Source organism: Homo sapiens, chromosome 6, assembly GCF_000001405.40.
Source record: "Homo sapiens chromosome 6, GRCh38.p14 Primary Assembly".
NCBI lineage: Eukaryota > Metazoa > Chordata > Mammalia > Primates > Hominidae > Homo > Homo sapiens.
This window is the reverse complement of record NC_000006.12, coordinates 13,695,318-13,707,884: the sequence shown is the minus strand read 5'-3', so window position 1 is coordinate 13,707,884 and position 12,567 is coordinate 13,695,318. Positions and strand designations below refer to the sequence as shown.

The 12,567-nt window shown below is 39.8% G+C and overlaps 1 protein-coding gene across 3 annotated transcripts in view, besides 2 other annotated features; it reads left to right on the top strand.

The window, feature by feature from the left end:
* The window catches only part of RANBP9 (RAN binding protein 9), a 90,338-nt gene that overhangs the window by 3,951 nt on the left and 73,820 nt on the right, over window positions 1-12,567 (top strand). For 2 of the 3 annotated variants that reach the window (XM_011514205.3, NM_005493.3), the window contains exon 2: window positions 10,989-11,100. In XM_011514205.3, the coding sequence (XP_011512507.1) occupies window positions 10,989-11,100 (112 nt within the window). Of the gene's footprint in view, window positions 1-8,348; window positions 8,367-10,988; window positions 11,101-12,567 lie in introns of those variants that run through there. The other variant, XM_047418032.1, reaches the window with a different exon arrangement.
* Window positions 4,774-5,068: an enhancer, noted in NCBI's record as "tiled region #12249; K562 Activating DNase matched - State 5:Enh". NCBI's record gives its function as "activates a minimal TATA promoter and a strong SV40 promoter by Sharpr-MPRA in K562 cells {active_cell/tissue: K562}" and the evidence as "EXISTENCE:reporter gene assay evidence [ECO:0000049][PMID:27701403]".
* Window positions 4,774-5,068: a silencer, noted in NCBI's record as "tiled region #12249; HepG2 Repressive non-DNase unmatched - State 17:Gen3'". NCBI's record gives its function as "weakly represses a minimal TATA promoter and a strong SV40 promoter by Sharpr-MPRA in HepG2 cells {active_cell/tissue: HepG2}" and the evidence as "EXISTENCE:reporter gene assay evidence [ECO:0000049][PMID:27701403]".

Genomic DNA, 12,567 nt, shown 5'->3' with positions numbered 1-12,567 from the left:
TGAATAAGTACAAATGTGACAAGTTTAGACTTAGTTATAATGATAACGGGAAAATAATTTTAATAAATATGACAATGGACTTAGTTTAAATGTTTCAACAACAGATTGCATTTTTATATTTTTCTAGTTATTACCACTATTTGGATATTTTATAGAGTGCTTTATATATACACACACTAGTGGATCTGGACAAGATCCTGGAATTTTCATTTTAAATTTTAGAGAGTGGTAGAACCTGGAGGTTAGATCTTCCCAGTCATGAGTAAATCAGGATTGAAAATTTTCACTAACTCCAGATTTAGTGTTCTTTTCACAATCCCATAGTATTGCCTCTTTAAGTTCATATGAGACTTAATTATCTCAAGTAGATAAAATCCTGTGATCACATTTAGAACTTTTAAAGAATAGTTGAGATTGAAAATACTTACTCTGGGGGAAAAAGGTAACTGGAACACAGTGCTTCAGAAAAGTCCAGACACCTTGATTTTACTAATTTAGAACAGTTTAGAAGAAATCCAAGGTAAGTCAAAGTTGGGAATTATAGGAAGCAATGAAATAGTCAATTTCAGTGGGTGTGGTGGCTTACGCCTGTAATCCCAGCACTTTGGGAGGCCAAAGTAGAAGGATCGCTTGAGCCCAAGAGTTCTAGACCAGCCTGGGCAACATAGTGGGACCCCGTCTCTACCCCTAAAAATTAACCGGGCTAAGTGGCACACACTTGAAATCCCAGCCACTTAGGAGGCTGAGGGAGGAGGATTGGTTGAGCCCAGGAGGTTGAGGCTTCAGTGAGCTATGATGGCCTGGGTGACAGAGTGAGACCCTATCTTAAAAAAAAAATAAGTAAATAAATAGTGAATTGCATTTTTTTTTTTTTTTTTTGAGACAGAGTCTTGCTCTATCGTCCAGGCTGGAGTGCGGTGGTACAATCTCTACTCATTGCAGCCTCTCCTGGGTTCATGCAGTTCTTCTGCCTCAGCCTCCTGAGTAGCTGAGTAGCTGGGATTACAGGCGCTTAGCACCACGTCCGGCTAATTCTTGTATTTCTAGTAGAGACGGGGTTTCACCATGTTGGCCAGGCTGGTCTTGAACTCCTGACCTCAGATGATCTGCCCGCCTCGGCCTCCCAAAATGCCGGGATTACAGGCATGAGCCACTGCGCCTGGCCTGAATTGTCCTTTTTTTTTTTTTTTAAGATGGAGTCTCGCTCTGCTGTTGTCAGGCTGGAGTACAGTGGCGCCATCTTGGCTCACTGCAACCTCCGCCTCCCGGGTTCAAGCAATTCTTCTGCCTCAGCCTCCTGAATAGCTGAGAATACAGGCATGCGCCACCACGCCTGGCTAATTTTTGTATTTTTAGTAGAGGGGAGGTTTCAACATGTTGGCCAGGATGGTCTCGATCTCTTGACCTCGTGATCTGCCCGCCTCGCCCTCCCAAAGTGCTGGGATTACAGGCGTGAGCCACAGTGCCCAGCCAGAATTTCACTTTTTAATTGAAATGTTATGAACAATAACCAAATAGGTTGAACTTTTTTGTTGTTTTTTGAGACCGAGTCTTGCTCTGTTGCCCAGGCTGGAGTGCAGTGGCGCCATCTCGGCTCACTGCAAGCTCCGCCTCCCGCGTTCACGCCATTTTCCTGCCTCAGCCTTCCAAGTAGCTGGGACTACAGGTGCCCGCCGCGACGCCCGGCTAATTTTTTGTATTTTTAGTAGAGATAGGGTTTCACCGTGTTAGCCAAGGTGGTCTCTTATCTGCTGACCTAGTGATCCACTCGCCTCGGCCTCCCAAAGTGCTGGGATTACAGGAGTGATAGGTTGAACTTTTGTTATACTTACTCTGTCTTTCCCACCTGTACCCCCAGTCATTAGCGCTTGAACACTTCCTAAATATAATTGCTTATCTAATTTCTTGCACTTTTTAAGTTTGAACAGATATTTCAGCATGCTTGCTTACAAGTGCAAATGTCTGTTAAGCATTACGGGGGTGATATAAAAATGTTTCTTTTTTTTTTTTTTTTTTGAGACGGAGTCTTGCTCTGTCGCCCAGGCCCAGGCTGCAGGGCAGTGGCGCGATCTCCGCTCACTGCAAGCTCCGCCTCCTGGGTTCAGACCATTCTCCTGCTTCAGCCTCCCCAGTAGCTGGGACTACATGCGCCTGCCACCACGCCTGGCTAATTTCTTTTGTATTTTTAATAGAGAGGGGGTTTCACCGAGTTAGTCAGGATGGTCTTGATCTCCTGACCTTGTGATCTGCGCGCCTCGTCCTCCCAAAGTGCTGGGATTACAGGCGTGAGCCACCGCGCCCGGCCTAAAAATGTTCCTTAAAATGAAGGAATTGAAGAATTACTTGCCAAGATTTTGGGAAATTAGGTTTAAAAATGCCAGTTGGTAACTGCAAGAATCAAGTAAATCTAATAATCATGCAGAACAGTAGACAATAATAATGTATATTCTTTTTTTTTTTTTTTTTTTTTTTTTTTTTGAGACAGAATCTTGCTCTGTCGCCCAGGCCGAAGTGCAGTGGTGGCACTTTGTCAGCTCACTGCAACCTCCATCTCCTGGATTCAAGTGACTTTCCAGCCTCAGCCTCCCAAGTAGCCGGGATTACAAGCGCCTGCCACCACGCCTGGCTAATTTTTGTATATTTAGTAGCGATGGGGTTTTGCCATGTTGGCCAGGCTGGTCTGGAACTCCTGACCTCAAGTGATCCGCCTGCCTTGGCTTCTCAAAGTGCTGGGATTATAGGCGTGAACCACTGCACCCAGCCTAATGATATATATTCTGCTAGACTAGACAATTTATATGTGTTTTTCACTGTTCATTTCTTCATTTATTTAATGAGCTTTTAGTGAATGTTTACTTTGTGCTAGGTTCTGGACACTCAGAGGTGGAGAAGATACTGTCATTGAATTCAGAGAGCTCAGAGGACATAAAATAGAGTAGTAAGGGAAATATTATAGAGAGTACTGTGGAAAATAGGAGGAGCGTATAACCCAGGCTGACATTGGAAAGAATGAAGGAAGTGTAGGTATCAGGGATAGCTTCTTGGAGGAGTCGAGGCTAGTGGTCAGTCTTAAAAGATGAGTAGGATATAGGAGAAAGGGAGGGGCTAGGTGTTGCAAATGAAGGAAAAGCAAAAACATAGAGAATTACTTTATGTGTCTGGTTTTACAAGCAATTTTGGGTTGGCATTTAGAGTATGTGACAAGGAGCATCTGGGAAAAGATCAATTAGGAGGCTTTTTTTTTTTTCTCTTTTGAGGCAGGGTCTGACTCCATTGTCCAGGCTAGAATGCAGTGGTGCGATCTAGGCTCACTGCAACCTCTGCCTCCTGGGCTCAAGTGATCCTCCCACCTCAGCATCCTGAATAGCTGCAACTACAGGCACGTGCCACCATTCCCAGCTAATTTTTTGTATTTTTTTGTAGAGAAGGGGGTTTTGCCATGTTGCCCAGGCTGGTCTCGAATTCCTGAGCTCAAGCCATCTGCCTGCCTTAGCCTCCCAAAGTGCTAGGATTACAGGCAGGAGCCACTGTACCTGGCCCAGTTAGGAGCCCTATGGAATATTTTGTTGAGTTTAGATCTTATTCTGTAGGAGATGGAGAATCATCAAAGGATTTTAAATGGGAAGTGACTGGCTCATATCTTCATTTTTGTCAGATTACGCAGCTGATTGGAAGATAGATTCAAGAGGTTACAAGAGTGGGAATAGTAAATTCATTTAGAAGACTATTGCAGTAGACCATGTTAGAATTGACCTCAGCTGGGTCAGTGGTAAGGCCAGAGAAAGGCAGATATATTTGTGAGATATTTAAAAGTAATACTGAGAGGATATGAGGAATGATAGTGAGAGAAATCAAAGAAAATGTTTGGGTTTCCAACTCTGTTAGGATGATGTTTGGGTCTTTAGCTGTTAGGCTCTTGCAGTGAACCATGAATAAAATAATGATTGTGAAGGAGACTGTATTACAGTATAGTTGGAGATAAGTAAAAATGGGAATCTCAGCCCTGTGATCTGACTTCATGGAAACCAGAAGAAGCCAAAGAAACAAGCCTTACAGAAAGAACAGGAACAGGTCTTTTGGAGTTAAGGGGACTCTAACTGGTCTTAATAGTCATGACTTAATTCTATTCTATTAAAATGACTCAGCTCCAATCACTAGTTTCTGGTTGTTTTATTTCTTTTTCCCTACTGACTGGCTTATCCTTTCCTTCCTATGTCAAATTCCTGAGAGACTTAACAGATTGGCCTGGCTAATTGCTATGATTCTTAGTTGGGCAGAGCTTTTCAATACAGACTATGTTGTGAATTGGTGGCCTTCAAGTCAGGTGCTAACCTGTGTTGAATCAGCTGTAGGAATGGTGGTAATTATAAAATACAAAATACCCTGCTGGTACAAGGATAGTCTGGGTCTCACTTCTTTCGGTAGGGGCAATGTGTGAGGCAGTTTCTCCTAGGAAGGGTTGGCAGTTAACCATAATTGATCTGAAGCTTGGGAGAGAGGTCTAGGTCGTGACTGATTTAGGAGTCACTTGTAGGTGGTAGTTGAAACTCAGAGTATTTGAAAGAGAGAGGGAGAATAGAGTGAGAAAAAGCAGTGGGCCAAAGATGGGGACCCTGAAGAACACCAACATTGAAAGACTAGAGGGAGCACAAAAGAAATGGTAGGTCCCCAGACATCAAGGAGATTGGTGTCACAGAAGCTGAGCACGGGAGGGTGCAGTGGCTCACACCTGTAATCCCAAAACTTGGGGAAGTCGAGGTGGGAGGACTGCTTGAACCCAGGAAGTTGAGGCTGTAGCCAGCGGTGATCATGCCACTGCATTTTAGCCTGGGCAACAGAATGAGACACTGTCTCAAACAGCCTCCCCACCTTCCCTAGAAATGAGGAAGTGATATTTAGTGTCTGTTGCAACAGATAGGTTTAGTAGGATAGGCACAGATAGTTTTCCACTACGTTTGGAAATTAGATCATTGTGACTTTAGGGAGAGCAGTTTGAATTGAGTGATGGGGCAAAAACCAGATTTCAGTGGGTTGAAAGAGTAAATGAAAGGACCAAGTAGAGAGGATAGTGAATAGAGATTATCCTTGAGAAATATAGATGAAGGAAGAGATGAGGCATTTCCTAGAGGAGGATGGAGGTTAAGGTAGGATTTTTTTTTTCTTCTAATTTTTAACGGCTGATAGTGGAGTTACGTTTTACCTGGTGTTTAGCTTCTAATGTCAGCATAGAAGATGAAAATCCTACATAACCAAAATTATCCTTAAAAATTCCTTTGGAAAGTATTGTGTTAGAGACCACTGTGTCATTTCTTAGTCAATCTTGTTTTAATTTGGTTGTATAGGTAAAACTGAAGCGACATAAATTAAATGAAAATACTATATTATATTAGTCCAAGGTATGGTGTTCCAGGAAATGTATACAAAATTTAACATTTTAACAAATAAAATTGATTAGCCTACCTGGTTATTATTACTATTTTTTCTTGAACAGAGTCTCGCTTTGTCAGGCCGGATCCCAGGTTTAAGCAATTCTCCTCCCTCAGCCTCCCGAATAGCTGAGATTACACACACCCGCCACCATGCCTGGCTAAGTTTTATGTTTTTAGTAGAGATGGGATTTCACCATGTTGGCCAGGCTGGTCTCGAACTCCTGACCTCAAGTGATCCACCCACCTTGGCCTCCCAAAGTGCTGGGATTACAGGCATGAGCCACTGCGCCCAGCCTTGTTATTACTTTTAAGGTAAAAAATTATATACCACCAACTCTGGTACATTACTGACAATGATTTATATGTAGCACGGAGGCATAGAATTTGTGAAAAGTGTACATTTTGGGGACATTGTCCCTTTACAGATTGAGGGGAAGGAGAGATTAGAGAGGAAGATAATGAAATACAAGCTTGAGAGGCTGACAGAGAGGCTTCTAGAGAGGAAACTGGTTCCAGAGTCCAGAATGGTTGGTCTTGGAGAGGAGAGTACAGACTGTTCTTTGATAATAGTGGAAGAGGTGAAGACTGCCGTGGACATAGATCACTTTGTAATAAAAGAGTGGAGAGTTGAATATGACCATAGCTAATGGCCTCTCGTTTTTTGTTTTTTTGGTTTTTTTTTTTTGAGATGGAGCCTTGCTCTTGTCGCCCAGGCTGGAGTGCAGTGGTACAACGTCGGGTCACTGCAATCTCTGCCTCCAGGGTTCAAGCCATTCTTCCGCCTCAGCCTCCCAAGTAGCTGGGAATACAGTTGCGCACCACCATGCCTGGCCACTTTTTGTATTTTTAGTGGAGATGGGGTTTTATGTTGGCCAGGCTGGTCTCGAACTCCAGACCTCAGGCAATCCGCCTGCCTTGGCCTCCCAAAGTGCTGGGATTACAGGTGTGAGCCACCGCACCCAGCTGGCCTCCTGTTTTCTTGATAAGAGGTGAGGTACTTTGCTCATGAATTTGAGTAGAGGATGTAAAGTTTAAAGTAAATGATGAAAATGTGGACTAAGCCATTGAGAGGGATAGGGAATAAGCTGACAACATTTCTAAAAATATTGTTGGTAGCATTGAGAGTGCTCAGTTGACATCATTAGTTCATAGCAGTGGCTGTTCATAAGATTTTGGACTTTATTCATTGGAAGTCAACTGTCCAGTGTGGGAGTATGGAAGGTAGATTATGATACTGAGAGTGTCATTTTGCTGGTTGGATATGATAGAATGATGGGCATATGAGGGAAATCAAGGATATTTGAGAGCTTTAAGTGATTACCATGTAGCCTGTCCTGGAAGAGGAAAAAGGGAGAAAAAACACAAAGAGTTTGAGGAATTAGAGTTCCCATGATGTTGAAGTATAGACGTGAAGGCTTTAGAAAGGGGATAGAACAGGATGGTGTGTTCTGGAGGAAGATACCGGTGTTTCTGCAATAATGTCCTGAATGCGTGGCTGGAAAACCATGTTTTCCACAAAATCAATGCGCTAAAAGTAACAGGACTTATGCAAACTATAAAGCTGGAGCAACCCCTTAAAACCTTGGGAACTTTGTAGGCATTAATCAGAACACTACAAAAATTACAGTCCTAGTAAAATAAAAGCCCAGTTAAATTTTCACTGTGCCCGATATTACAGGTGGCTTGGTCTGTTGCAGCTTTAGACTCTGGGTCTTGAGCTTTTGCTTCTTCAAGAAGGAATGATTGAAGTTAGAGTGGAAGTTAGCGGGAATAAAGAGGTTCAGGAATTAAAACGCAGGGAAAAAATAATTAAACGTGAGTGTTAAGTGTGTAAATGTGCAGGAGAGATACATGTTGCTATGAGGGCTTGTAAAAAGGAGCTTCAACCAAGTTGGAGAGATTAGAGAAAGAATATTTGAGGAAGTAAAGCTTGAGCTAAGATTTAAAGTGTGAGTAGGACCTACCTACTCAGGCTAAGAAGGAAAGGTGGAGGGAATAGCATGTTTACAGACTGGCCTGATCAATGTGAAGAATTGAAATAGTGCTGATGCGGCTGGAGCAGAAAGGAGGTGGAAAGTGCAGGTGGAGAGCAAGACCAGACAAGGTGCTCAGGAAGCGTGTCTTTTTCCTAGGCCAAAGAGGAGGCTTTGGAAGGAATCTTAGTTGTATTGAGGGCTACTGATAGAAGGACGGCTGATTTATATTTCCAGAAAGGCACTGGCTGGCTGCATGTTGGCGACTGGAAGGGAGTGGGAATAGGGTAGAATGGTTTATTCAAACTCTTTCCATCAGATTGTTTGAATAAAAAGAGCTAAACTTGCTAGCCTTAGAATTAGGAAGTATTACATATGTTTTCTTCTAAAGCCACATAGAAAACACTTAATACTGAAGACTTTGTAGTTTTAAAAGTTTAAACTTTGGTAGTATGAGGTTGTTTTTTGGTTACCACAGAATTTGAGGTAATAATAAACTTTCAGGTGATGAGCATTGTTAGAAATAGGCCCTTTGCTGCTGATATTACAAGTTTGAGCATCCCAAATCTGAAATTCAAAATGCTTTCAGAATTCAAAACTTGATTTTTTATTTTTTTATTTTTGGGACAGAGTCTCACTCTATTGCTCAGGCTGGAGTGTAGTGGCGCTGTCAGGCCCTTGCAACTTCTGCCTCCCAAGTTCAAGCGATTCTTGTGCCTCAGCCTCCTGAGTAGCTGGGATTACAGGCGCACACTACCATGCCAGGCTAATTTTTGTATTTTTAGTACAGACAGGGTTTCACCATGTTGGCCAAGCTGGTCTTGAACTCCTGACCTCAAGTGATCGCCCGCCTCAGCCTCCCAAAGTGCTGGAATTACAGGCATGAGCCACCACGCCCGGCTCAAAGGAAATGCCCAATGAAACATTTTAGATTTTGGATTTTTGGATTTAGGATGCTCAACTGGTAAGTATGCACAAATATTGTAAAATCTGAAAAAAATCTAAAACACTTCTGGTCCCAAGCATGTCAGATAAGGGATACTCAACTTGGACTGGTCTCATTTAAGAAATAATATGAAACCTTATAATCTTGCATTTAAACTTTTCCTTATACCTTTTACATCTAATTTAAATTTTAATTTAAACATGAAACAAATCTTTTTAGTTTTAATATTTACAGAATTTATCTGCAATTAGTGAATCCTAACAAATATAATGGATCCTTGAAGATTTATAACTGGTACTTTATAGTAATTTTTGCATAATGGAAAAATGTATGGGATTTTAATTCATGCATGGATCTAATATATGTTTCTACCAATTTGGGGCTGGGTATATAATGTGTAAACATTTTATTTTTTTTTCTGTAGGCCCATGACAGATTACAGATTTCTTCATTTCAAAAAGTGAGGTTAAATAATACCTATTTCGTAAATGTTGAAAGAGAAAAATCCATACAAAAGCACCCAACTCTTTGAGAGACTGTTTACTTTCAAATATTGGTTTCTTTCTCTTTTCCCGTAGAAGTAGTCAGAATAGGACATGGGGATATGTGAAGTGATCCCCGAATGTTCATTGTAACTAAATCCTTCATGTGGGTTCAGAGCTCACACTAGATCAGGTTTCTTGAATTTAAATCCCAGCACAAATCCTGGTTTGGAATTCGCTTTTAGCAGTATGACTTTGGGCGAGTTTCATTATCTTCCCTTGGATTCCTCAACTGTGAAATGATAATAGATAGTACCTACCTCATGGGGTTGTTTTGGATATTAAATGAGTTAATAAACTTAATGCTCTTAGAGCAGTGCCTTTCACACGGTATTAAATATATGTAACTATTATTTGTTATTAAGAATACTTTGGGATTACTTTATCACTAAAAGTTTGGGTCACTCCCCTTAAAAAATCAGTGGATTTAGAACTGCAGTTAGATTTTGTTTAGATAGTTTTCTATAGATTTATTTGTAACAATCTAATTTTTAAATATGTAGTTTCCATGGCCTTTTCTCAGGTAACTTAATTATTTGAACATATTTTGACTGAAAAATGTGTTTTACTGCCACCATAATTAAATTTTATTAAAAAGTGACTAGTGCACAGACTTGTGCAATTGTTTCTTTTCTGCTGCTTAGCTCAGTGTAAATCTATTACCTGCATCATATGTTGAAGTAGTTTTGATGCATGTAAATACTGTTGCTTCCATTTTTGTCTTGCCTAGCCAAGCTTGTTGACTCCTTATGGTCACCAGGCTAAAAGAACTTCTGCCCATAACCCAAGTTTTCATGGTAATGGAAGGAGTGGCAGAATTCATTCCATTTTTTTGTGGGGGGAGTGGGGGGTGTGAACATGTACTAATTTGCATTGCAAGTGTAAACTTAAGTGTTTAATAGTAATAAGGCATGTGTTGGAAATTTGATAAATTTGGTCAAGTGTGTGGTAAGGGAGGATATGATCTCATTCATGTGTGATGATTGTATATCTTAAGATACAATTTTTGACTTACAAGAAGGTATTTAGTTTTAAAACAATCATAAATTTAAGGAGAATTCTGCTACCCATGAAGATAATTTTATAGTATGACTGAAAGATTAATGCGAAGTTTGTATTGCGTGGAGCATATTTAACTAGAACACCCCAATAATGATTTAGAGTATTGTTTCTCATGCAGTCCTTTTGGGGATATGGAGACTTGTCTCACTCATACTCTATGAGTACTTTCTGACATGCTACTTCAACTTCTTTCTTTATTCTTCCATGGTTTTGTGGACATATTTTCTCTTAATATTGTCTACATGCTAGCTTTCAAGGTAATTTGTGTCTTGGGCGAGAGGTAGGGGAAGTGATTGTGAGTTTAGCAAACCCTGTGGGATTAGAATTGAGGAATAGCTGGTTTAAAAAGTTTGAAAGCCATTATCTAAAAGATTTTCTAAAGTGTCAGCAGTGGCATGGTGTTACTTCTGTTGTTTAAAAAGAAAAAAATACGTTTAGAAATTAGATGTATTTCTCAATAAGCTATTATTGGCCCAAGAGATTTTATGAATCAGCTTTAATTAATAAGACTATACCAAAGAACAAAACTGTAAATTCTTAAGAAAGCTGTTTTGCCAATTCAATCTAATTGTGTAAGATTTCACTTAGAAATATACAATACAGATGCTTCTGGTTTAAAGAGCCAGGACTTTGGCAAGAGTGTACAGAAATTATATAAGTTATATGCAAATTTAGACCTGATAAAATTGAGATCTTTCTCTCATGTTCTTCATACAGCCTTTTTCCTCTTAAAAATATAGTGTACTCTATAATGTCTTTTATTTAATTTGCATAAAAGGCTGCTAGGTTCAATTTCCATATTTGGATTCTGCAATCTTAATAAAACTAGTAATAGTGTGAAGAGTTCTGTGGTTAACTTGGGCTATTTTGCATATTGGGTTCATGGTGATGATAAACGTTTTATTGAGTATTTGAACTGATAGGAGCAGAAATAATACATCATTCCAAAAACCTATATGTTCCTGAATTGTTTAAGGTTTTCATCTTTCAGTGAATATCTCATGTGACTTCTTTTTTCCTTCCTGTTTCTATGCAGGTCATGGCAAAACCCCAAAAGATGCCGCGTCAGTTCGAGCCACGCATCCAATACCAGCAGCCTGTGGGATTTATTATTTTGAAGTAAAAATTGTCAGTAAGGGAAGAGATGGGTAAGTAAATTTTGGTGAGAAAAATCGTTTGCTAGTTTTTTTGTTTTGGTTCATAATGTTTATGATGTAATTGGAAAGTTGGAATCCTGGAAATTTTGCTAATTGGAAAAGTGGAATCTGAATATTTCAGTATAACAGATTGGATCTGGTTATGCTTAAATACTAGCTGAAGTTAAAGCTTGAGTTGGTGATATTAACTAAGCTTTTCTGGTAGGTTTATTATTAAAATGGAGAATTTGGAATTAAGGAATGAAGGGATGGTGACTCATTTTCCATGACTTTTCTTACACTGCTTTTTCGTGAATTCTGCTAAGAAGTTAAATCCTCTCAAACTAGTAATCATAGTCAGTTGGTGATTCATAGGTATTTTACAGATGTTGGACTTAGAATTTTAGGTTTCAGCTGGGAAATGTGTATTTGTATGCTCTCAACTAGAGGAGATTTTCAAGGTTTAGGATGTGGTTTAGAAATTTCCAAATGAGAATTCCATGGTAGGGCCTGGAACCAAATTTTATATCATTGCTTTTCAGCTTGGGATTGGTGTGTGGTTTGTATGGGTATCAGAATTCACTTATGAGACTATTAAAAATATAGTAATTTTTGGGCCTTACCCCAAAAGTTCCTAAATTAGGATTTTCAGAAGTAGAGCTTTGGGCAAGATAGGCATTTTGAGAAAGCTCCACACTGAATTTTGGTGCCTATCCCTGGTTAAGCACTAATTACCTAGAATCATTGGATCTATCCTATAGTATTTCCTGATAACTTTATTGCATATCAGAGGTCTCTTAAAGCAGTCATAGGGTCTTTAGTTGAGTTACCAAGACAAAGCTTATTGAGCTGTGTGGATAAGTTGCCCTGTGAGGTCAGTCAGATGGACCTCAAATCAAACCCCTCTTAGTGGTCCTCCTGTGTTTAATTAACCAAATAAGTGTATTCAGTAGATTACTCCTTTATCGGCTGAATATTCTCGATGTCAACAGTATGAGCAACAGAAAATAAAAACTTGGAATTCAGTGACAGCTTTTTATGTAACTGCCTCAGTTTTCTTAGGGTAATCAAGCCAAAGAGAAAATCAGAGATGCCAAGGATAGAGTGGTTGAGAGAGGCCCATATTGAAATAGGCACACGATTGTCACCATTTCTCACTTTACAAGCTGTATAATCAGTAAGCTGATTCTTTTTATACTTCAAATTATATGAACTTGACCTCATATTTGGCTGCAAATACCCTGATGATTCTCAAATCTAATGCTACATCTTAGCTTATTCCCTCGAGCTCCAGACAATGTGTCTAACCAAATGTTTGCATTTGAATGTCCCACAGGCATTTAAATTTAGCTTGTTTAAAATCTTTTTCTGAAAAAAAAAAAAAAAAAAAAAAAACATTTGGTTGGTGGTTTCACTATTGCTAGAAACTTGAGAATTTCCTGCTTTTAACTTTTCTGTTCATCTCTACTGCCTCTCCCT